Source organism: Homo sapiens, chromosome 14 (genome assembly GCF_000001405.40).
Source record: "Homo sapiens chromosome 14, GRCh38.p14 Primary Assembly".
In the NCBI taxonomy this organism is placed as follows: Eukaryota; Metazoa; Chordata; class Mammalia; order Primates; family Hominidae; genus Homo; species Homo sapiens.
Genome location: NC_000014.9, coordinates 50,102,069 through 50,127,259, shown reverse-complemented (window position 1 = coordinate 50,127,259; position 25,191 = coordinate 50,102,069). Strand labels below are relative to the sequence as shown.

Genomic DNA, 25,191 nt, shown 5'->3' with positions numbered 1-25,191 from the left:
TGAGACAGGAGAATTGCTTGAACCCGGGAGGTGGAGGTTGCAGTGATCCAAGATCGTGTCATTGCACTCCAGCCTGGGGCGACAGAGTGAGACTCTGTCTCAAAAAAAAAAAAAAAAAAAAGGAGACCTTCTTAGTTACAAAGGAAGCTAAGAAACGTCTCTAACTAGGTAGCCATTTGCCTTACCAAAATTCATGGGATCCTATTACTAAAAGGAAAAAGGGAAAGGTGTACTGGGAAGCAGCAGGCTCTGCCACAATATGTTGAAGAAACTTTTAAGGCATTCTCTTTATTCTTAATAATCTACAGCTTCACAATGAACTGCATTGATGTGGGTATTTTTTTTTTTCATTTTGTCATCTACTTAATGAGCCCTTTAAATTTAGAGATTCGAGTGTTCGATTTCCAGAAAATGCTTCCTGTTGCTTTGGTAATAATTTTTCCCCCAGCATGTTCTCTGACTCCTTTTGTGGAGCTCCTTTTTCTTATTCTCATACATCCTAGATTGATCCTCCAATTTTCTTGTCTTTTATCACCTCTTGTCCATCTCTTTGTCTTCTTGTTCTGTTTTCCTGGAAGATTTCCTCACTTTATCTTTCAGCTCTTCTATTTATTTTCTTCATCTGTCATAATTTTAAATTTCTAAGAATTCTTTTCAGTTACCTCTGATTGTGCCTTTTTTTAATAGCATCCTATTCTAATTTCATGGATGCACTGTCTTATCTCTCTTAGGATAATAATTATAGTATTTTTAAATTTTATTTTTAATCGACAGATAATTGTATATGTTTATGGGGTACAATCTGATGTTTTGATACATTGTGGAATGATCAAATCAGCTAAGTTGCATATCCAGTGGCTGGGCAGGGTTGGACCAGGAAAGGGGAGACTTTAGTCAATGGATGCAAAGTTTCAGTGACTATAGTTAATAATAATGTATATCTCTGGATAGATAAAAGAGAAGATTTTAAATGTTCTCACCACAAAGAAATGATGAATATTTGAGATGATGAATAATTACAGTATTTTTGAAAAAAAATTTGTTTTGTTTCTAGTGTTGTCTCTTTTCTGACCTCCTTTCTTGTATTAGTTGTAGTCTCTTGTCTTTCATATTGGAGGCTTTCCTTTCTTGTCCAGTAGTATTTCTGTTCATATTTTAGAATGAGGGGGAAACTGATGGGAAGTGCTGTATCTATATCCATGGCACTTATTGACTTGTGGGTTTCACTGTAGAGTGATGGAATGATAATTTTTTACTTAGGAAATCCCCAAATGTTAGAATCTGTAGGCATTTTCTCTAAGAATGTTTAGTTTCTCTAAAGAAGGATCTTTGAATCTTCTGCCTGGGGCAATCTCGCCATGTAGTATGGATATCTGTGTTTTCAGCTCAGACTAGTATCCCAAGTCTGGGGTTTAGATTTTCCGGAGAATAAAACTGCCAGTCTCCTACAGAGGTGGGAATGAGGTCATTGCCTGGCCTCACTAAGTAGGGGAGAGGAGAATGGGGTTCTAACTCTCCCTTATCCAGACTTAACCAAGTCTTCTGTTTTCATGTCCATGCCTTCCTTTGTACCAAATGCCTTTAGCTCCTGAATCCTTATTTGGTTCTGTGGGGCAGATTTGCTGCTGCTTGTCAGTATTACTCTCTGTAGGGTTTCATCTTCCTCCATCTGTCTCCATATACATTATAATCTACCTTCATGAATTAAAGCTTCAGCTTCATATATTTCCTGGCTTTATTGAAGTTTGTTGATATTTCTTATTTTTCTTGTTGTTCTGTGGTGGAAATGTCATTACACTATTAGTTTCTTAGTACTGCCATAACAAAGCACCACAAACTGAGTAGCTTAAAAGAGCAAAAATGTATTGTCCCACAGTTCTGAAGGCCAGAAATCCAAAATCGAGATGTTGGCAGGGCCATGTTTACTCTGAAACTTGGAGAAGAGAATCCTTCCTTGCTTCTTCTACCTTCTGGCATTTGCTGGCAATCCTTGGCATCTCCTGATTTGTAGATGCCTCACTTCAGTCTTTGCCTCCATTGTCATATGGCTGTCTTCTCGCGGTATGTTTCTTTATTTCTTCTCCTCTTCTTATAAAGACACTGGTCATGTCATATTGGATTTGGATCCATTTTAATGACCTCATCCTAACTTCATTACATCTGCAAAGACTATATTCCAAATAAGGTCACAATTATAGGTACTAGGTTATGGGACTTCATCATATCTTTGGGGGAACACAATTCAACCCATAACACTGTGCCATCGTAGAAGTAGGAATTCTAGACATTATTTTGAATGGTAGTAAAATACATTTTCCATATAAGAAAATTTTACATTTTGAAATTTAATAGAAAATTGAGAATAACTGCATTAAATTCTGAATATTCTAAAATAAATCCCCAAAGAAAATAAAATATTCATAGCAAGTATGAAAAGTACTCAGATGAAATGAGAAAAATGGCAAGACTCCATTCACAATGAACATGGGTACTTCACATCAAAGGAAGTATACCTTGTAAAGAAACATAGATAATTATAGATAGTTCAGCATCATTAGAAATCTGAGGAATTTTACACAATAGTGAGTTGCCATTTTAGTCTTTTGAATTAATGTATTTTTTTTTGTTTTAGTACGAGCAAGCCTATGGTAAAAGGCACATTACTTATCCCCATGTAAATTGGTATATTAGTATAACCCTTTTGGAATCTGAATACAACATATCAAACCATAAAAATGTTCACACCCTTTGATGTTACTGATTCAGTAGATAATTGAATACTTAGTTTGTACCAGTTACCCTGCTAAGCACAAGAGATTCAGTGGCAAACAAGAAAGACAACGCCTCTGCCTTTTATTTATACAAAATACCCAATAAATGTTTGGAAAAAGTTACATGCATGAAGATTCATCCTACTGTCTCGTCTTTTCTTCCACTTCACTTGTCACTGCTTGGTCTCTCTTGCTGGTTCCTCCTCACCTTCCCAAACTATTGACATTGGAAGGCCTTAGGACTCAGTTTCTGGACCTCTTCTCACTCACTTGGTTGTTCAGTCTTGTATCGTTTACATGATGATAATTCCCAAGTTTATATCTAGCCAGAACCTCTCTTCTGACTTCTAGACTCATATATTTAATTACCCATTTAACATCTCCAGTTGGATATCTAATAGGAATCTCAAACCTTACCTGTCTGAAACTGAGCTTCTTATTATCCCCTCCAAAGTTGTTCCTCTCACTGCCTCCTCATCTCCATTCTAATTACAAGCATCCAGTTACTTAGGCTAAAAATAGTGTAATAGAAGTATCTTTTACTTCTCTCCCTTTCTCACACGCCAAATGTGACCTATCAACAAATCTTGACTACTCTCAAAATATATCCAGAATCTAACAATTTTTTGCCATCTCCACTGCTGCCACCCTGGTCCAAGCCACCATAACTTTTACCTTGTTTATTACAGTAAGCATCCTGACTTATTATCTTCTCCACTTCAGTATGTTTTTAGTAGAGCAGCCAGAATGATCCTTTTAGAATCTGAGTTAGACCTTGTTTTACTTGTGCTTAAAGCCCTCTGGTGGGCCGGGTACGGTGGCTCACCCCTGTAATCCCAGCACTTTGGGAGGCCAAGGCAGGCGGATCACCTGAGGTCAGGAGTTGGAGACCAGCCTGGCCAACATGGTGAAACCCCGTCTCTACTAAAAATACAAAAATTAGCTGGGCCTGGTTGCAGGCACCTGTAATCCCAGCATACTCAGGAGGCTGAAGCAGGAGAATTGCTTGAATCCGGGAGGCGGAGGTTGCAGTGAGCTGAGATCACACCACTGCTCTCCAGCCTGGGCGACAAGAGTGAAACTCCATCTCAAAAAAAAAAAAAAAAAAGCCCTCTGGTGGCTTTCCATCTCACTCACAGTGAAAGCCGGTTCCTTTAAAGAACGCACAGGCCCTACACAGTTTGGGCTTGTTTGATCTGTCAGACCTCATCACTTATTCTCCCCCTTCACTCAGTCTGCCTCAACATAATAGACACATTATTGCATCAGTGCTTTGCTCTTGCCATTCCTGCTGTTTATAATACTTTTCAGCCATTTAGCCTCACAGCCTGCTCCCTTACCTCCTTCAGGCTGTTACCTTAGTGAAGCCTTCCCTAATCACCCTATTTATGTTGCTCCCCTCCCACCTCTTTCTATACCCCTTTCCAACCAAATATTTCTTGTCATAATTTATAGGCATCATACTTTTACTTATCTTTCCCTAACCTAGATTATAAGTTCCATAAGGACGTGAATTTTTGAGTTTTGTTCACGGTTATATTGCTAGTGCTTCAGACAGTGCCTGACAGTATTAGCAGGTGCCCAATAACTGTTGAATGAATGAATGAATGGCAGAAAATTAGAAGTAACTTAGATAGCTAACTAACATTACAGAAATTGTTTAGTAAATTCTGCTATATTCACCAGTTTGGAATAAATGCAGGCACTAAAAAAGTTCATAAAGACTGTAGTCTTGTAGGGAAATGCTCTTGATAGACAATTAAATTGCATTCAGACTTCAGCAAGGGTTATTGATTGCCTACCGTGGAGAAATATACTGGTTAAGTGGTGACTGTAGAGTCAGACCCAGATTCAGAGCTCTCATAGCTTTCCCATCATTCACATATCATCTGCTTCCATGAGTGTGCGTGTCTGTTACCACCTAAGACTGGCTTAATCAATAAGAAAACACTCAGACATACTTGGAAGCCTAGAGGAAGGCTGCTTTAAGACTGGTTGATTCAGTGACTCGATGATGTAATTAAAGACCAGGGTTCCTGGACTCCAGCCTGGGCGACAGAGCGAGACACCGTCTCAAAAAAAAAAAAAAAAAAAAAAGCCCAGGGTTCTTTTTCACTCTTCATTGTTTTGTCCAGATTATCAGCTTGATTTAAAGCTGTTTTCCCTCAAAATCATAACTGGCAAGAGCAGTAAAGGTTGTGTGCTTCTTTGTTCAGTCAAATTATATATAGAGAGAAGTACAGACAAGACAGTATGACAGAATGCGTTTCCAAAAAAGAGCAAGGAACTTCCTTTCCATTAGCCCCCAGAATATCTCCTTTTAAATTTCACTGGTCTGAATTAGGTTACATGCCTACAGTTAAACTCATCACTCTGGCTAAAGGAATGGGATTACTCTGATTGATTTATACCAATTAGGCCCCATCCCTGGAGCTAAGGGGTCAGGTTCACTTTCCCTAAAAAAATGGCTACTTGCATGAAAGAGAGGTAGATAAAAATCTGATCATGTTAAGAAAGTGAGTCCCATGCCTATTCCTTGCCTTGAATTGGGGTGTCCTGGGCAGGATTGGCCAACTAAACCAAATGGGACAGATTTACCACCACCGAAAGGAGTTCTCCCAAAGACGGGACAAACAATGCTGGCAGGTCTGAGGAACATCCTCTGCCTAACCTCCCCACACCATCTGCCAACCTCATAGGCATACCTTTTGTATCAGCTATTTCCCCCTGAGCCAACAGGACACCCCCGCAGAAGTAACTGCAGAGCCACATGACTGAGATAGCAATTTTTGACATAGAATAATTAGTTTGACATATCTACTTGGATGTCTCATAAGCAGTTCAGTTCAGAGTGTTTAGGAACATCCTCTGCCTAACCTCCCCACACCATCTGCCAACCTCATAGGCGTACCTTTTGTATCAGCTATTTCCCCCTGAGTCAACAGGACTCCCCCCCCTCCCCCAGGAAGTAACTGCAGAGCCACATGATCGGGATAGCAATTTTTGACATAGAATAATTAGTTTGACATATCTACTTGGATGTCTCATAAGCAGTTCAGTTAGAGTGTTTAAAGTTAAACTTATCAACTTCTTTCCCAGTTAGCGCCTGTGTTCCCAATCTCAGTATAATGACAAATAAGACATAGTTGCTGCCTTTGTAACAACTGTGTGAATATAGAGAGATCAAATGGGAAGTTGAACTATAGAAAAAATTAAAATGAAGATAGTAATTATTATATGTCTGGTTGATCTGTTTAGGGGTATTTTCCTGTCATTTATCATTTTGTAAATTTCCTTTAATGTAGTTATATAACGTGTACATTATCAGTGAGAGACTTGCAAAGACAAAGAGTTATGTGATATAACACTACCTTATGGGTTCCTATATGGAGGGTTTTATTACCTGTGTGGTGATGTGCCCAATCATAGCTGCTTCAAAAATATACGGTCTCGCAGGGCACGGTGGTTCATGCCTGTAATCCTAGCACTTTGGGAGGCCGAGGTGGGCGGATCACAAGGTCAGGAGTTTGAGACCAGCCTGACCAACATGGTGAAACCCTGTCTCTACTAAAAATACAAAAATTAGCTGGGGGTGGTAGTGGGTACCTGTAATCCCAGCTACTCAGGAGGCTGAGGCAGGAGAATTGCTTGAACCCGGGAGGCGGAGGTTGCAGTGAGCCGAGATCGTGCCATTGCACTCCAGCCTAGGCGACAGAGTGGGACTCCGTCTCAAAAAAAAAAAAAAAAAAAAAGGTCTCTGATTAGGATGGTCTTTCTTTGGAAGTTACTACAGTGTATTTAGACATGTTTTGTTTTGATTTGTGAAAGGCTTTTCAGGGAGCAGAATCTCATTAATCATAATTAAATAGTACACCTTCATTTAGCTGAAGTACCCATCATGCCCCAGGCACTATGGTTGGTGCTAGAGACACAGAAATAAATACACACTCCCTGCAGAAAGCTTACAATTTAATGGGGGAAGATAGATAAACCAATAGTTGATACAGTCTGACAAATGCCATGGTAGAAGTATCGATCACAAATTGTGATAAAGGTTTATCTTATACTGTGAATTGTGGTTAAACTAGTCTTTTTCTCCCCCAGAGTCTTTCTTTAGTTCATGTGGTAGTTTACATAAACTAAGTGAAGAGCCCCTGATTCCTCCTCCTCTTCCTCCTCGAAAAAAGTTTGATCATGATGCTTCAAATTCCAAGGTAATCAACAGGACTTTACTCCAACTTATTCAAAGTTGTGAATCTTCAAAATAATGCCTAGTGTTATAAAGAGTCTGTGAATTATACTTTGGCTACCATTTATGGTTTTTCAGCATTTGGGTTGTTATATTTGAAAAATACTTTTAGTTGTTTAATCCTTATAAAAACCTTTTCTAAATAAGAGGCTGGGCCGGGCGCAGTGGCTCATGCCAGGCGGGTAGATCACCTGAGATCAGGAGTTCGAGACCAGCCTGGTCAACATGATGAAACCCCATCTCTACTAAAAATACAAAAAATTAGCTGGGTGTGGTGGCGGGTGCCTGTGATTCCAGCTACTGGGGAGGCTGAGGCAGGAGAAGCGCTTGAACCTGGGAGTTGGAGGTTGCAGTGAGCCAGGATCGTGCCACTGCACTCCAGTCTGGGCAACAATTGCAAAACTCTTGTCTCAAAAAAAAAAAAAAAAAAAAAAAAGGCTGGTTGGGAGGCTGAGGCAGGCAGATCATCTGAAGTCAGGAGTTCAAGACCAGCCTGGCCAATATGGTGAAACCCTGTCTCTACTAAAAATACAAAAATTAGCCGGGCATGGTGGCGGGCACCTGTAATCCCAGCTACTCAAGAGGCTAAGGCAGGAGAATCACTTGAACCTGGGAGGTGAAGGTAGGTTGCAGTGAGCCAAGATCGCACCATTGCACTCCAGCCTGGGCGACAGAGCAAGACTCTGTCTCAAAAACTAAAAATAAAAATAAAAAAATAAAAAAGAGGCTGGAAGTACATTTTCTTTCTGGTACAGGTGGAAAAAAACTTCAGTAGTATTCCAAGTATTCTTCAAACTTTCAACTAATGCTTCTCAAAATTTTAAGGGTGCATCAGAATTACCTGAAAGGCTTGGTAAAATCAGACTGTGGAGCCACACCTCCAGAGTTTCTGATTCAGTAGTCTAGGATGGGGCCCAAGAATTTGCTTTTCTAACAAGTTCCCTACTGATGCTGATGTTGTTGGTCTCTGGATCACACTTTGAGATCTACTGCTCTAAGCCTCACTGGAGAAAGTAGCAGTAGATGCCCAGTAAGCAGAAGCTAGACATTAAAGTCCTCTAGACATCATGTCCTTTCATGTCTATAAAGCAATAAATTATTGTCACTTACCTACTATTATAATTAAAATACATAAATTTCTGAAATGTATACACAAAGCAAGATAAAGAGTTAGGACCTAAGACTTAAATTAAAACATCTCATATATAAAAATATTAAACCCAGCCCTGAATTAATCTAGGAGTACTCATAATCTGATAATTAACCCAGATTAGTTTATTTTGAGCCTCTGAATTTAACTTGACAAGTAAGAATTTTTCAGACTTAAAAATTTTTTTTTTTAATTTTTCAGAATAGAGGTATAATTTAATTACTTTTTTTTTTGAGGGAAATATGAAATCTGATGATGATCCTCCTGCTATTCCACCGAGACAGCCTCCTCCTCCAAAGGTAAAACCCAGAGTTCCTGTTCCTACTGGTGCATTTGATGGGCCTCTGCATAGTCCACCTCCGCCACCACCAAGAGATCCTCTTCCTGATACCCCTCCACCAGTTCCCCTTCGGCCTCCAGAACACTTTATAAACTGTCCATTTAATCTTCAGCCACCTCCACTGGGGCATCTTCACAGAGATTCAGACTGGCTCAGAGACATTAGTACGTGTCCAAATTCGCCAAGCACTCCTCCTAGCACACCCTCTCCAAGGGTACCGCGTCGATGCTATGTGCTCAGTTCTAGTCAGAATAATCTTGCTCATCCTCCAGCTCCCCCTGTTCCACCAAGGCAGAATTCAAGCCCTCATCTGCCAAAACTGCCACCAAAGACTTACAAACGGGAGCTTTCGCACCCCCCATTGTACAGACTGCCTTTGCTAGAAAATGCAGAAACTCCCCAATGACCTTAGCCATATGTAGTCATTGACACTGGAATGGTATTTGTAAAGTTTTTTTTTTAATTTATTCAAAAAAAGACATAGTATTTTAGTACTTTTTACAAATAATGCTCTTACAAAAATGCTACTGATCAAATAAGCTTTTAAGAATTGGAAAAATAAAAATACAAAAGTCCTTCACCATTATCCTCAGGTGATCAGTAGCATTGCCTTGTCTTGGATCCTCAGTGCTGCCAAAAGGCCAGTATAAAGAATTTATATTTGCACTGTAAACTCTGCAAAAATATGGTTTAAAGTGACATGATTGCACTGAAAAGGGATAGTGCTTTTGTGAAATTTTTCAAATTTGAGTAATAGATGCCTTTTTAAGGCAGTGAATTTACACAAATATGGGAGGGGTATATGGTGTTACTGATTTTTAAACCTCTTTGACCATCTTCTAGTTTTTACTTCTAGTTTTTACATCTAGGAGAATTGTGAATAACACCAACTGTTCTTAAACTCTTTAATGCCATGTCTTAAATGCCGGTATTTGCTGCTGAAGACAAAAATGAAAAGTAGGATGAAAATAATAGAATGGCACTGTAAGTGTTTATTATTTTGTCAAAATGTAAACAAAGACTACATAACCCAATGATGGAGGGAAAAAGGGCATGTATCTCATTCAGATGTGCCTTTTGTTTTTGCAGACTATGACGTCTTTAGCTAATGAATTGCCTATTGTTATGGAAAACAGTTAATATGCCATGTATGTACAGTTTTGTTTATATTGTATATTTAAAGATACTGCTAATAACCTATATAAATTTAAGTGACTTGAGGCCTATAATACAATCTGCTACTTTACTAATTCATAAATTCAAAAAAAATTCTATGGCATAGGAACCAACTGCCTTGCCTTCAAGACCTAGTAACTTTCTCTATAAATCTCGTGTTAACTGAAATTTTTTTTAAATATATTTTTTAGATTGGTAATATTTAAACCAGCAAATACTTAAAGCTTTATTAAACATTTTAATCAGATAAGTGAGTAAAGCTTTTATTTGCCATTTGGATGCCTTCGTTCAAAGTGATAGAGTGTTTTGCTGATAGTGCTGTAGCAGCAGTTGTAAAGTAGCCAAAAGCCACGTTGTTTATTTACTGGTTTGTGGCCTTTTACTGTGCTTTGTATCAGAGTTCTTAACAAGATTAATAAATCACCCCAGTCTTAATTTTTAAAAGACTTTTAAAATATGTGTTTTCATTATAAGGAACAAAGGGGGAGATTGTTGAGTCCTATAGACACACACACACACACACACAATTTTTTCTTCACTGTTAAATGTGAGCTGCAGGCTTCTAGCAACCACTTTTATGAATTCATACAAAAAACTAGGAGCATACTAGGAACTTGAAAAGGAAGATTGTAAGATTATAGCCATCTTTGGTAGGATCTTGGAAGCTGATTGCATTTAAGCCTTGTAACTACTATGTAAATCAAGTGTCCAACTTGGTAAACTCTGAGGTTGGCTTTGTTTTTTAAAGAGCAGATTATAATAGTTTTGTCTGGGAAAGTGATTTAAACGGCCTCTTCGTTAAGCCAAACGTGTGATTTAGGGTAGAGGGAGGCTGCCAAGCGCGTCGGGTAAGCAGGGGCCCCACGCTCGGCCCCGCCCAGGTAACGCTGCCTTCCGGGCTTTGTTAACTCGCGCGCGCTGCGTCGCCAACTCAGCGGCGGGCAGGGGGCGGAGCCGCAGGGCGGGGCGGTGCGCGTTGATGTGACGTCCCTGCGCGCGCCGCTTTCTGTTGCCGGGCGCAATGGCGGATACGCTGGAGTCCTCGCTGGAGGACCCACTGCGGAGCTTTGTGCGAGTTTTGGAGAAGCGGGATGGTACAGTGCTACGACTACAGCAGTATAGCTCCGGTGGCGTGGGTTGCGTTGTGTGGGACGCTGCCATTGTCCTTTCTAAATACCTGGAAACGCCCGAGTTTTCTGGCGACGGGGCCCACGCGCTGAGCCGGCGGTCGGTGCTGGAGCTGGGTTCGGGCACCGGGGCCGTGGGGCTCATGGCTGCTACCCTCGGGTAAGAGCTGGCGGGCGGGCGGGATGTGGGGGCGCCTTCTTGCTGGGGAAATCCGGATTACAGGCTTTCCCCCCTGTGCCTACACCTCAGTCGACGTTATTTTATAGGGCTGATGTTGTAGTCACCGATCTTGAGGAATTGCAAGACTTGCTGAAGATGAATATTAATATGAACAAGCATCTTGTCACTGGTTCTGTTCAAGCCAAGGTACTGAAATGGTTTGTATGGCCTTTCAGCTTGTTTTAAGATATTGATTTGTAGTTTGTTTTGAATTGCGTTTCATTAAAAGGATGGAAGGGGACTTTCCGGTTCTTTATAAAACAAGAGTATTTTGAATTATTAAAACAATTGAAATATTTGTTTGGCATTTTTAAGGGGGGAAGAAATAGAAGGCTTTCCTTCTCCACCCGACTTCATACTGATGGCCGACTGCATATACTATGAAGAGGTAAGTATCCAGTGAGCGAAGTCTCTTCACTTAGAAGATGAACCTTATTCCATGAATTCTAAAGCACACGTTTCTTCACATTTTAACATCTTTGAATCCGGGATTTGCCTTATAGTTGATGCAGTAAAGAGAAGATAAAAGTCACCAGGGACCATATGTATATACGCTCATCATTATCATACCGACCTGGTGAAGCATGTTGAGAAAAGTGTTATATGCATTTTACTAGAGGCTTCTGTAAAAATTTTAAAGGATTTTGCCAATTGGATGTTATGAAAAGCCAAAATCCTCTCTTTTTCCCTTGGTTGTTCCCACGGAACATGTTAACCATGACATTGAGAATTAAGTTATAAATAATTCATTGTTCTTTTCTTTAAATACCAGTTTGGGCCGGGCGCGGTGGCTCACGCCTGTAATCCCAACACTTGGGAGGTCAAGGCAGGTGGCTCACCTGAGGTCGGGAGTTCGAGACCAGCCTGACCTACATGGCAAAACCCTGTCTCTACTAAAAATACAAAATTAGCCAGGCGTGGTGGTGCATGTCTGTAATCCTAGCTATTTGGGAGTCTGAGGCAGGAGAATCGCTTGAACCTGGGAGGCGGAGGTTGCAGTGAGCCGAAATCATGCCATTGCATTCCAGCCTGGGCAACAAGAGCAAAACTCTGTCTCAAAAAAAAAAAAAAAAAAAAAAAACATCAGTTTGTATAGTGTTGTGGGCATCGATTATTTTAAAAATAATTAGCATTGAACCAAGTTAGGGTCAGATTTAACTTTTGTAGGGAAATCGTTGATTATTTAAATCCCAAATTAGATTAAATAAAATTAAACTTTTAAGAGTAAGGTTGATTCCATTTGTTTCCCATGAGAACTCCAAAATGCAGTCATCTGAATCCTTTTTCTGGAAACCAAAATCAGTACATGGTTTAGTTAACAGGAGCTTACCCAATCATTAGTTACAGAGGGGTTTTTGTTTGTTTGTTTTTGTTTTAAGATAGGGGTCTTGCTCTGTCACACATGTTGTAGTGCAGTGGAGTGATCATAGCTCACTGTAACCTCGAGCTCCTGAGGCTCAAGTAATCCTCCCATTCAGCCTCCTCAATAGCTGGGACTATAGGTGTGCACCAGCATGCTGGCTAATTTTTAAATTTTTTGTAAGGTGTTGCGGGGGGTGGTTTGTCTCTCGCTGTATTCTCCAGGCTGGTCTTCAACTCCTGCTTTCAAGCGATCTTTCCACCTCTGCCTTCCAAAGTGTTGATATTACAGGTGTGAGCCACTGCACCTAGCCTAGAGCTTTAATTACATGTGCTTTGTTGGATTGATTCAAAGATGGATAAATTGTAGGGGAGCTATAAATACCCCTGTACCTCCTCAACCTACTTTTAGAGTAGAAAAATTTTTAAATCAAAAACAAAAAATATATTCTTTTTTAAATAGTCTTTGGAGCCATTGCTGAAAACTCTAAAAGATATCAGCGGATTTGAAACTTGTATTATATGTTGTTATGAACAACGAACAATGGGGAAAAATCCAGAAATTGAGAAAAAATATTTTGAGGTAAGTATTAAGTACTCTATTATCTTTGTAGTGATTTCCCTTCAGGGGGGCTGTATGTGACTCTTCAAGTATATTATGGTAATTTTGGGTGGGGAAAACATGCTGTTTGTGTGAAGCTGAGGAAAGGATCTTCACAGCCCATGATTCTACGAAGCTCCCCTTTTTCATCTTTTCTGATACTTTATTTCATTTCTAATTAGTTGATCTATGGCTACAGAAGAATGTTAATACGGGTGCCACTCCTTTTTAAGAACAGTTTTCAGTGTTTATTAAACATGATGCTGCCTTTGGGGAACATCTCAATGATGTATGTATTACCTTTGGAGAATACGTGATAGAAATGTGCAGGTGATAAGTTGTTTTTGTTTTGAGACAGGGTTTCACCCTGTAGCCCATGCCGGAGTGCAGTGGCACAGTCAGGGCTCACTGCATCCTCAACCTCCTGGGCTCAAGTGATCCTCCTGCCTCAGTGTCACCCCCCCCCCCCCCCGCCCCCAAGTAAGTGGGACTATAGGCATGTACCACCACACCCGGCTAACTTTTTGTATTTTTTTGTAGAGATGGGGTTTTCCCATGTTGCCAAGTGATAAGTTTTTACTTCTGTGTTTTTCTCTACATATTTATGAAACCTCCAACCTAGATACCTGTCTATTTTTAGGGTCTTTTTTTTTGTTTTTTAAACTTTTTGTCTGAAATAGTTAGAAAAGACTTACAGGAAGTTGCAAAATATAGTATATAGGGTTTTATGTATCTGTCACTCTTCTTCCCCTAGTGATCACCCAAACCCTTATATGGGCACAAATCTATCACATTGTGAGTGACTCCTTTTGAGGGTACATCTATATAGGCCTGCAGTTTTGTCTGCTGGAAGGACTACTTTGGTTTAATGAGAAAGCAGGTATATGACTGCCTCAGGTAACAAATACTAAAATGTTTGTTTATTTTCATGTTTTTCTTGAATATGAAAAATGTTCATGAACTTTTGAAATGATGCATAATGAAAATTTCGTACTGTTAAACAGCTTTTATTGGGGTAAAGCATATGTAAAATGCATATGTATCAGTCAAGTGCTGAGCTTAATTTTTCATATGTATACACCCAAGTAACTACTTACCAACATAAAGATAGAGGACATTTTCAGGATCTTGGAAGGTTTGCACACTGCCCTTTCCCAGGCAATACTCAAAAGGTAACCACTGACCAGGCGCGGTGGCTCACGCCTGTAATCCCAGCACTTTGGGAGGCCGAGATGGGCAGATCATGAGGTCAGGAGTTCGAGACCAGCCTGGTCAACATGGTGAAACCCTTTCTTTACTAAAAATACAAAAATTAGCTGGGTGTGGTGTCGTTTGCCTGTAATCCCAGCTACTCAGGAGGCTGAGGCAGGAGAATCACTTGAACCCAGGGAGGTGGAGGTTGCAGTGAGCCAAGATCGCACCACTGCACTCCAGCCTGGGTGACAGAGTGAGACTCTCAAAAAAAAAGTAACCAGCATTCTGACTTCTGTCACCCACAGGTCAGTTCATATTATTGAATTTGAAGTATGTCTCTTTTAAATTTATAGCTCCTTCAGCTAGATTTTGACTTTGAAAAAATTCCTTTGGAAAAACATGATGAAGAGTATCGAAGTGAAGATATTCATATTATATACATCAGAAAGAAAAAATCGGTAAATAACATTCTCAGTTCTTCATTCTCCAAGGAGGTTTCATCAGCTGGACACTATTTCAGGGCATATGTGTGGTATGGGCGTTGATTTTGATGTGGAGAAACAGCTCTAATGATTCACTGGACTCAGGCAGTAACTTCATTGTCAAGATAATTTAATCTATCTTGCCTTGGGTTTTTGCTCTAAAGCCAGGCTTTTTTTTTTTTTTTTTTTTTTTTTCTCGTATTTTTTAAGTAGAGACACGTTTCACCGTGTTGCCTAGACTGGTGTCGAACTCCTGGGCTCAAGTGATCCGCCCACTTCGGCCTCCCAAAGTTCTGAGATTACAGGCATCAGCCACCATACCTGGCCAGGCTTCGCTTTTAAAGGCCTTTTCCAGCTTCTCCATAGGCGTAAATTGTATAGCTCTATAATTGGGTATTACCTCAGACAAGTTATTAGCTATTTATAAGTTTCTTTTATCTCTGTGAGATTTTAAAATGCCTGCTCTTACCTTTGTGAACTTTTCCTTATTAAAAATTGTTTACAGGAAATGAAATACAACAAGGCAGATGAGTCCATAAAAGATAAATGCACTCAATTAAGTAGAATTTATGTATTTTCCCGCTTCTTGGTGCATGTTTTACCCTGTATAACAATCACATTTTATGCAGGTTGCCTCAGTGACACCTAGGGTTTGAGCCTGTAGAAAGAGGGAAGAATTGTACTTCATCCTTTTTTTTTTTTGAAATAGGGTCTCACTCTGTCATCCAGGCTGGAGTACAGTGGTGCAATCTCGGCTTGCTGCAGCCTCTGCCTTGCAGGCTCAAGAAGTGATCCTCCCACCTCAGCCTCCTGAGTACCTGGGACCATAGGCATGCACCACCATGCCCAGCTAATTTTTGTATTTTTTTTGTTGTTGTTGAGACAGGGTTTTGCCATGTTGTCCAGGCTGATTTTGCACTCCTGGACTCCAGTGACCTGCCCACCTCGGCCTCCCAAATTGTTGGGATTACAGGTGTGAGCTGCTGCGCCTGGCCTTTCATCTATTTTTGTATTTCCAGCACCTTTGGTATATGTGACTAGTGTAAGGCAGGGAGATGATTAGTTTTATGAATTAAGGATGCTAGATTCAATAAGCCCACACTTTTTCTATCATCTTTGCTTTGATTATGTTTGTGGTAAAGTTTTCTGATTATATGAATTCTAGTCAAAAGCAAATAAAACTTAGGGAACAGAAGTAGGTGTTAGGACTAAATCTAAGTAAAAAGGCAGCAGCGGGATTATTCAGATTAACATTTATGTGGCATGGTGCCACAGATACAAAAAAAACTGTTTTGTGCTTTAAGGGATCTAGTGTTAACTGAAGCTGTTGTGCAGTTTTAAAAGTAGAATTTTTTGGAGGCAGAAAGATTTTGTGTTTCCTAAATATAGAGGCTTTTTTTTTTTTTTCGGCCAAAAAAAAAAACTCTTATTTTTTAGTTGATGTAACTCACATACCATAAAATTCACGCTTTTAAGGTGTACAATTTGGTGGTTTTTAGTATATTCACATAGTTGTGTAAATTACCACTTTCTAATTTTTAATGATTTCACCCCCCAGAGAAGCCTCTTACCCATTAGCAGTCACTCCCTGTTACCCCCGTCCCCAGCTGCTGGCAGCCACTAATCTCTATGGATTTGCCTATTCTGCACATGTCATATGTAACAAGTCACATACTGTGTGGCCTCTTGTGACTGTCTTCTTTCACTCAGCACAGTATTCTCGAGCCTTATCTACATTGTAGCACACATTAGCACTTAACTCCTTTTTGTGGCTGAATAATATTCCTTTATGTGGCTGTACCACACCTTATCCATCCATTGATGAGATGAATAATGCTGCTATGGACGTTCATCTACAAATTTTTGTGTGAACATGTTTTCAGACCTCTTGAGTATATACCTAGAGGAGAACTGCAAGGTTATATGGGAACTCTGTTTAACTTTTTGAAGACTTGCCAAACTGTGTTCCTAATCTACCATACCATTATACGTTCTCACTAGCAGTGTATAAGGGTTCCAGTTTTCTCCACATTTTTACCAACATTTGTTAATTATACCCATCTCACTGGGTATGAGATAGTCTCTAAACTGTGGTTTTCATTTCTCTAATGACTAATGATGTTGGGTATCTTTTCTGTATTTAGAAGAAATGCTTGGCCCATTTTCAGATTGACTTATTTGTCTTTTTACTTTGAGTTGTGAGAGTTCCTTATACATTCTGAATACTAAACACTTACAGATGCATTATTTGTGAATATTTTCTCCCATTCTGTGGGTTGTCTTTTCATTTTCTCAATAGTGTGTCTTGTATTTTCTTAATTTATTATTTTCTTATTTTTCTTTTGAGACAGAGTCTCGCACTGTCACCCAGTCTGGAGTGCAGTGGCATGATCTTGGCTCAGTGCAACCTCTGCCTCCCAGGTTCAAGTGATTCTCCTGTGTGAGCCTCCCAAGTAGCTAGGACTAAAGGCATGTGCCACGACGCCCAGCTAATTTTTTTGTATTTTTAGTAGAGATTGGGTTTCACTAGGTTGGCCAGGCTTGTGTCGAACTCCTGGCCTCAAGTGCTCTGCCACCTCAGCCTCCCAAAGTGCTGGGATTACAGGTGTGAGCCACCACACCCGGCCTATGTTGTGTCTTTTGAAGCACATATATTTTAATTTTGATAATGTCCAATGCATCTGTTCTTTCTTCAGTTGCTTGTTAGGTGTCAGCAAAGAACCATCTATAAACATGCATGGTTGTTCACTTGAATTGCATGTAGCCACTGTTATACTAGGCATACTAGGCATTATGAGGCATATTAGGCATTATTAAATACCCAGTAAATAGTTTGTGGTAAATCAATCTTTTAAGTTTCCTTTTTTTTTGTTATAGAAATTTCCATCGTGAAGCCTTTAATCATCTTACCCAAGGCTCTAACAACCTGGGTAAACTAAAGATGTGAATAGAGCATGTGAATACAGCATGGGAAGATTGTGTTCACAGATTTTTTTTTCCGGCACGTCCTTAGAGATCCGATGTATAGATGATGACCACCAGGGGCTGTCTGCAATACGAAAAATTCCTGCTTGCCTGCCTGCCTGCCAATGGCCCTGAATCCAGCTTAGGTTACTTAGTTCAGCATCAAGTTCTTCTTAAATGTTGGGAATCAGTTATTCAAATAAAAATTGGTATTGAGGCGAGGCTGAAATCTGCCAAAAACAGCCAACATGATTTGACTGGACCTTTTACAGGAAGCTAGAGATAAATTTCTGAAGAGAACTATCTGCTATTATATAATAATGTTTTAAATTCAAACTAGTAAATTTTAGTTTGTCTTCAGAGTTTAAAAGGTTTTCATTTTGTACATAATTATACAATATTTATCATTTGTATTTTCCACTTCATTTCTTTTAAAATATCTTTAATACTGAAATGTTCTTTTAATTTTAAAAAGAACTGAGATATTGTCTTGTATACTTATATTAGCCAAAGTTTTCTTTTCCTCCACCATACATATCTATGTGATTTAATCAGTAAATTGTACTGTAATGAGTTGCTAAGAAGACAAATCAGAAGATTGGAGGAACAAAAGATATCTTTACAGATTTTTCATTTGAGCATGGAGTGAGAATAGAAAGACCAGTTTCAGGCTTATGCACTTACGTGGCTCATGCACTTTATGTATATGTTCCAGGAAAATCTGGCTTAAAAATACTGGTATTGTTTACATGAAGCAGTGAAAGGTTTTTGAATAACTACAAATGTAGTTCTATATGTATATACCAAATGAATTTCTGTTCTGTGTCTCTCTGTTTTATGTTATGAAGCCATTCGCTCATATACAATAATCTGTCAAGGACTTTAATCATACTTGTTCCAAAGAGTAGTAACCGGATGGAATTCTGGTATTTATAGGCATTGGTGCTAGATGGTACATTTTATGTGTTAAAATAAACATTGTTTTTGAGACCTTGTGACTGTGAATTTCAGAAATACCTTTGAAGAAAGTGAACATCTAAACAGTTAACAGGAGCAAAAGCAGCCCTATTTAGAGACATTAAGGATACAAGTCAAGAAATCAGTTCATTCCTTTCAGGTTTATTTCAGTCTTAAAAGTTTCCTTTGCTGGTTTCCCCCCCGCCAAGATACTTTGTTCATACTGTCCTTAGCATTTCATTAAGCAGTTTGCAAGGCAGTGTAACCTAAATCTGTGGTGCTTTGTGAGGTACAGATAGTGCTAGCTGTTATTAATGATGTCTTAGGACAAATGACCACTTTTTAGCTTGTTTTATAACATGAAATTTGTAAAAATAAGTTTGACCTTGACTATAATAGTCCACCCAGGTTCCTTAAATGTCTTTTCACCCTCCAGTTTTTATGCCCTCCTGCTTTCTCTTTTTTTTTTTTTTTTTTTGAGACAGGGTTTTGTTCTGTTGCCCAGGCTGGAGTGCAGTAGTGGCACAATCTTGGCTCACTGCAACCTACTCTTCCCAGGCTTGGGTGATCCTCCTACCTCACCCTCCTTAGTAGCTGGAACTACAGGTGCGCCACCACAGCTGGCTAGCTTTGTTGTATTTTTTGTAGAGTCAGGGTTTCACCATGTTGCCCAGACTGGTCTCAAATTCCTGGAGCCAAGTGATCCACCCTCCTTAGCCCCGGAAAGTGCTGGGATTACTAGCCATGAGCCACTGCACCTGGCCCTCTTTTAACACACACTATCTGTGGGTCTTTGGCCTGAAGTCCCCCTTGATTTTACTGTATGAAAACCCAGCTCTTTTAGTTCAGAAAAATGAAACTTCACTAATTTCCTGGAGGAGTCGGGCTGAAGTCGGCCTCTGTGCAGCTTTGCCAAAATCACACTCTTGCTTGACTTCCTCCCCCTTCCTGTTCGGCTATTCCCATTCCTTTACTTAACCTTGATAAATCATTTGCATACATTCCTCTCTGCTTCTGGAGAACTCACCTAAGTACTGACTGTAGAGGAAATTTGTAATTCAAAGTCAAATAGGCCCCACGCGCGGTGGCTCACGCCTGTATGCCGAGGCAGACGGATCTCCTGAGGTCGGGAGTTGGAGACCAGCCTGGCCAACATGGTGAAACCCTGTCTCTACTAAAAATACAAAAATTAGCCTGGCATGGTGGCGTGCACTGTAATCCCAGCTACTTGGGAGGCTGAGGCAGGAGAATAGCTTGAACCCTGGAGGTGGAGGCTACAGTGAGCTGAGATGGAGCCACTGCACTCCAGCCTGGGTGACAGAGCAAGACTCCGTCTCAAAAAAAAAAAAAGTCAAATAGGATATCTTTCTTGTTCTGGAATAAGGCCAAAACTGAAGTCAGGGTGCCAATCCTCACATTCTAAGATTCGACCACTGATGGTTAGGACCAGTGAATGCTACAGGGCTTACTGAAGGTGGCCAGTTCAGAGAACATGCTCCATCACCAACTACTATTCCACAGACAGCTGGGGAGCTCTGGAAGAGGTCTCCTTTCGGAGGAGTCCATTGTTAGGGAATGTAATTTAGTCTTTTGGGCTTTCGAATGTGGAGAGATAACAAGTTGTACCTGCACTCACAAACCACAGGAGGAGGCTGGGTGAGGTGGCTCATGCCTGTAATCCCAGCACTTTGGGAGGCCAAGGCAGGCAGATCACTTGAGCCCAGGAGCTTGAGACCAGGCTGGGCAACATAGCAAGACCCTGTTTCTACAAAACATACAAAAAATTACTTGGGTGTGGTGGTGTACACCTGTAGTCCCATCCATACTAGGGAGGCTGATGTGGGAGGTTCATCTGAGCCCAGGGAGGTTGAGACTGCAGTGAGCCATGATTGCACCACTGCACTCCAGCCTGGGTGACAGTGAGACCCTATCTCAAAAAAACAAAACCGCAGGAGGAAGGCCTGAGGAAGTAACTAGAGATTCAAGATGTTTGCAAGTATGGGAGACCAGTATTTCTCTTTCTGGCTGGATTTGTGTTTACCCACCAGCAGCAGATTCCGAAGCATGGAGACAGAATTAGAGGAGTGATGTGGGAACTGTAAGGCTGAGGGGTATTGAAGATGCACTCTGCCAGCCTGAGAAATGATGCATGAATTGAGGGTTAGAAGACTTCTGCAACAACATGAAGGAGGGGACGACGTGGTTTAAAAGGCAAGTGCAATGGATAAGGTGATGCCACTAGCTGGGGCTCAGCCAGGACACAGCTAATTCCCAAATCCCAAGGGACTGCCAATGCCTTGGCCTGTGGGCAAGTGTGGGTTGCCTCTGCACAATGGAGCTCGGAAACTACTTATCAGAATGCAGTTATAGCCAATTAGGGAAAGGGTTGCAACCCCATAGTAAGGCAGTGTTTCTCAAACCAGGCTGCACGTGGAAAATTAAAAGCACACAAAACCCATGTTCAGGCCCTATCCCAGTCCAGTTTAATCAGAGGCATAGTAGTTTTGTTAAGGGGTTCCAGATGGTCTTAATGTTTGCCTTAAATTGAGAACCACTGCAACAAGGAAACCTCTTTTATCCGTTTAGCATCTACTTCCCAAGGAGAAGAGAGCAAAGAAAGAAGAAAGTATATAAAAAGCAAACCATCTGTGAATAGAGTGGGCCCCTAGTACATACGGACAAAAAACCACTTGGAATCCGATGTGGAACCTTGTATGAAATAGGAGGTTTTAAAATAAACAGGACTGAACTTTGGAAATGGAAATAGACTATAAATATAATCTGAAAATTAGAGAATCTGGCCAAGAAGGCAAAGGTGATGCTACTCAAGAAGGAAGGGGGATTCAACAGTTAAAAATTGTTGCAGGTCCAGTCTCCAATGACTTGAGTCTCTTCTGTACACCAGTTATAACTTTAAACATCTTTGAGGTTGCATAACTTTGCATTTTAATCTGCCACAGTTTATAACCAAGGGTCCATGGATCATATGTTTGGTGAAGTTGGAAATGAAATTAGTTTTTTGTTGTTTTGTTTTGTTTCGAGACGGACTCTCACTCTGTCACCCAGGCTGGAGTGCAATGGTGTGATCTTGGCTCACTGCAACCTCCGCCTCCCAGGTTCAAGCGATTCTCCTGCCTCAGCCTCTGAAATAGTTGGGATTACAGGCACCTGCCACCACACCCAGCTAATTTTTGTATTTTTAGTAGAGATGGGGTTTCACCATGTTGGTCAAGCTGGTCTGGAGCTCCTGACCTCAAGCAATCCACCCTCCTCAGCCTCCCAAAGTGTTGGGATTATGTGCGTGAGCCACTGCACCTGGCCTAGGTTATTTTAAAGTAAGAACTATTAATCCAGAATGTTAGTGGGAATTTTTTTATACACAGCATATCTTTTAATTTTTTCTTACCTTTCTTGAAAATTTCCTTGTTAAATGATGCAAAATATGATATGACAGATTATAGGTATTTTAAAGAAGAGTATGGGTTATAGAAACATCTGTTGTTCTAAAGGCCACCTGTAGATGGCATTGCTTGACTTTGTCTTTAAATGTTTTCTAGAAAGGAAGTTGTTAAAATAGAATCTACTTTGAAATGCAATCACATTTTAAAGGTGAACGAAATTAGATTAAAAAAAAAAGCCTACCTTTTGAGTTACTTTCAGAAGATAACACAGGGTAAGTAAAACAAGTTTTTTTCTTGTAAAATTGTATTTGGTTTATCTTTCTGTTTCTTTCTGATATGCCTTTTGAATATCATTCAAAAAGCTACGTTACTACAATTCATAAAATGTTTTCTCTGCTATTGATATCTTCTGTGAAAAGAAGACAGATATTTAAGAGGCTAAATTAATTCAAGTGACGTTCTGAAAATTAAAATTCACCTTGAAAGTACCTTTCACATAATCATGATTTTACATCTGAGACACTTAAAACTTCTCATTTTAATTAGTTTTTCAAAGCAGTTTTTTTTTTTTTTTTCAATAGAGTAAGTGGTAGTTCTTACTTCTGAAGGCTGAAGCTGTGTCTTTGGTTCCCACAGTCCTGTAGGCACAGGCCAGGTATTTGACTTCTGGGTTTTCTTTTTTCTTAGGAAACATCAGGATTTGAAAGAGTTTTGATTCATTGATAACAAACATTGTTAGAGGAGAATATTCAGTTTTCATACCATAAAGACCTTCACTCTAATAGAAATACAGAAAAAGAAAACTGTTGCAACGATATCTTACTGAAAATTAATGGAAAAGCTAAGTTTTTACTTTCCATAATATTGGGTAGGAAAGCAATAAATTCTCAAGGCATTTTCACCAGTTAAAGTTTAAACCATTAGATATTTGGGGTTGTTCAAGACATTGAAGTTCTTATGTGTTGGTGAAGTTCTGTGAATATCTAGTGAGTCCCTATCAACTGTGAGATACATTCTAAGTCATTGATTATTAATGACAAGATGCTATCATTTGCAAATGATAAACCTAAAATATGGTACAGCAGATTATCTCCATGATAATATTTTGCTCACGTGCATTCTGAAAACAGTGTCAGCACAGAGGCTCTGAGACCAGATTATCTGGGTTTGAATCCCAGTGCTGCCACTTACTAGCTGTGTGACCTTGAAGTTACTTAAACTCTGTGTGCCTCAGTTTCCTCATATGTAAGGTAAAGATCATAATATCTTATAGGTTGCTGTGGAGATTAAATTAGTCAAATACATGTAATGTACTTAGGTACTAGGCACATAGTAAGTGTTCAATAAATGTGACCGTAGTTGGGGTGGAATTACAGGTGGGCACTTGGAAAATATGCATAATGCAAGTCAGTTTTATCTGTTGCAGTGTGAAATCTGGGCACCTTTTTGAGAGTATAGGATGCATGTAAACATTGCTGCCCAGTCACGGTGGGAATGGCAGCTGGGATGGGAGGAAGTTGAGAACATTGTTACACAACATGTACTGTTATTTAAACAAATAACAATCTTAGAAAAATAAAGAAGATACGGGGAAGAAAATTTTTGTTCACTGTTCATTTTTACAGTTTGAAAGCAACTGCCACGAGCATTCGAAGGCCAATAGGGACAGAGCAAATCCTCGTTTCTAAATATGGGAGCCTGGGTTTGCTGGCTGGAGCTCCAGGATTAACATTCCACCGCCCTGGACCCTTACTCAATTCCTCCTTCCACGGTTCTTTGCTAAACCTGAGACCAGATGGGTAGCAGGCCATTAAAGTACAGCAGAAAGTCATTTTTCTGAAGTCTGAGACTTGATCTATCTGCATAACAATATTTTCAGAGTTTATATTTATTAACTCTAAAAGAGCAATGTGACTTTAAAATATGTTTGTAGCAGTTGTTTCTTGCCTAAATAATCTTTCACTGTGTAATGAGTGCGTGTGTGGGATGCAGGACTTAACTAATTCCTCAGGCTAACTGACCATGTCTTTTACTAACAGACAAGAATGACAAAACCTTGGATTGTGTCTGTTTCTCCATCAGCCAGTGTAAAGTGGCACATAGGCTTTACTTCAGAAGGGGTGTGCAATCTTCCCTGGGCCACACTGGAAGGAGAAGAATTGCCTTTGGGCCATGCGTAAAATACACTAGTGATAGCTGATGAGTTTTTAAAAAATTGCAAAAAAATCTTATAATGTTTTAAGAGGGTTTACGAATTTGTGTTAGTCCACGTTCAAAGATGTCCTGGGCCATATGCGGCCCATGAGCAGTGGGCTGGACAAACTTGCTTTCTGCTTCTGCGTTATATTAAACTTGCAAGGCCTTTCTGTTTGCAATTAATGGAAAATATTGTCATGAATACTCAATAGGTGGTCTTCATTTTTAGAAACCTTTATACATTACCTATAATACAGTAACTTATTTTGTTGAATTAATTCACATTTTTTAATTTTCACAGGTTGAAAACAAGGATATTTCTTCCTTGCAAAGCAAAATTAAAATGTTTGTAAAAGATCTGGCCTAGATGCAGTTTTTATAGGCTTAAACGTTTGAGTAGTTAACAAATTCCTTTCAGGTTATTAGTTCTAATGAGGTACCACTGACAGCTTTTTGATGGGTCAGTGCTGTTAAATGCTTTTGGGTTTTTTGTTGTTGTTTGTTTGAGACAGAGTCTCACTCTTGTCACCCAGGCTGGAGTGTAGTTGGTGCAATCTTGGCTCACAGCAACCTCCACCTCCCAGGTTTAAGCAATCTTCCTACTTCAGCCTCCTGAGTAGCTGGGATTACGGGCACGAGCCACCATGACCGGCTCAGTTTTATATTTTTTGTAGTGATGGGGTTTGGCCATGTTGCCTAGGCTGATCTCAAACTCCTGAGCTCAAGCAATCTGCCTGCTTTGGCCTCCCAAATTGCAGGGATGAGCTACCACACCTGGCCTTGAGTAGTTTTTTTAAAAGTTACCTTTAACTCAGATTTGTTAATCTGCTGAAGTCCAGGCATTAACGATGTGAGTTCCAGGTGCTTGTGTTGGTTCATGATTGTTTGACAAATCATTGCCAGAGTTTTAGGTATACAGTACAAACAATCTCATGTATCTACATTCAGTACTCAACCTTGTTCTTTTAAGGAATGTGTCCTGATAACCTGCTTGTGCTTCATGC

General features: G+C 39.9%; 2 protein-coding genes and 1 long non-coding RNA gene across 21 annotated transcripts in view, besides 1 other annotated feature; all 3 read left to right on the top strand.

The window, feature by feature from the left end:
• The window catches only part of SOS2 (SOS Ras/Rho guanine nucleotide exchange factor 2), a 114,753-nt gene extending 104,623 nt beyond the window's left edge, over positions 1 to 10,130 (top strand). For all 11 annotated transcript variants that reach the window (XM_047431723.1, NM_001411020.1, NM_006939.4 and 8 more), the window contains 2 exons: positions 6,876 to 6,985; positions 8,407 to 10,130. In XM_047431723.1, the coding sequence (XP_047287679.1) occupies positions 6,876 to 6,985; positions 8,407 to 8,916 (620 nt within the window). In that variant the 3' untranslated portion in view covers positions 8,917 to 10,130. The remainder of the gene's footprint in view (positions 1 to 6,875; positions 6,986 to 8,406) is intronic.
• VCPKMT (valosin containing protein lysine methyltransferase) lies at positions 10,688 to 24,544 on the top strand. 9 transcript variants are annotated; one of them, NR_049738.2, is made up of 6 exons: positions 10,688 to 10,973; positions 11,081 to 11,180; positions 11,349 to 11,421; positions 12,856 to 12,975; positions 14,541 to 14,645; positions 17,547 to 18,623. NR_049738.2 is itself a non-coding variant. In XM_017021640.3 (6 exons), exons 1-6 carry the CDS (start codon positions 10,708 to 10,710, stop codon positions 20,690 to 20,692), a joined length of 729 nt encoding a protein of 242 aa, XP_016877129.1. In that variant the 5' UTR covers positions 10,688 to 10,707; the 3' UTR covers positions 20,693 to 24,544. The 9 variants fall into 9 exon arrangements, 5 of the variants coding, with proteins under 5 accessions (XP_016877129.1, NP_078834.2, XP_005268117.1 ...); XR_943532.2 differs by lacking the exon at positions 17,547 to 18,623 and adding an exon at positions 13,748 to 13,873 and having other exon boundaries at positions 11,081 to 11,191; positions 14,541 to 14,625; XR_007064045.1 differs by lacking the exon at positions 17,547 to 18,623 and adding an exon at positions 13,748 to 13,890 and having other exon boundaries at positions 11,081 to 11,191; positions 14,541 to 14,621.
• Positions 10,692 to 10,751: an enhancer, noted in NCBI's record as "active region_8353". NCBI's record gives its function as "activates an Ori minimal core promoter by ATAC-STARR-seq in GM12878 lymphoblastoid cells {active_cell/tissue: GM12878}" and the evidence as "EXISTENCE:reporter gene assay evidence [ECO:0000049][PMID:35858748]".
• Positions 22,217 to 25,191, top strand: part of LINC01599 (long intergenic non-protein coding RNA 1599) — a 97,731-nt gene continuing 94,756 nt past the window's right edge. The window contains exon 1 of the long non-coding RNA NR_131171.1: positions 22,217 to 22,263. This is a non-coding gene — a long non-coding RNA (long intergenic non-protein coding RNA 1599). The remainder of the gene's footprint in view (positions 22,264 to 25,191) is intronic.

What these genes read in the sequence shown, in the direction of transcription:
- VCPKMT (XM_005268060.5), top strand. Translation starts at nt 10,708, where the DNA reads ATGGCGGATACGCTGGAGTCCTCGCTGGAGGACCCACTGCGGAGCTTT. An exon ending in TTGAGAAAAAATATTTTGAG is followed by an intron (nt 12,976 to 14,540) that starts GTAAGTATTAAG and finishes TTAAATTTATAG; the next exon opens with CTCCTTCAGCTAGATTTTGA. An exon ending in ACATCAGAAAGAAAAAATCG is followed by an intron (nt 14,646 to 15,174) that starts GTAAATAACATT and finishes AATTGTTTACAG; the next exon opens with GAAATGAAATACAACAAGGC.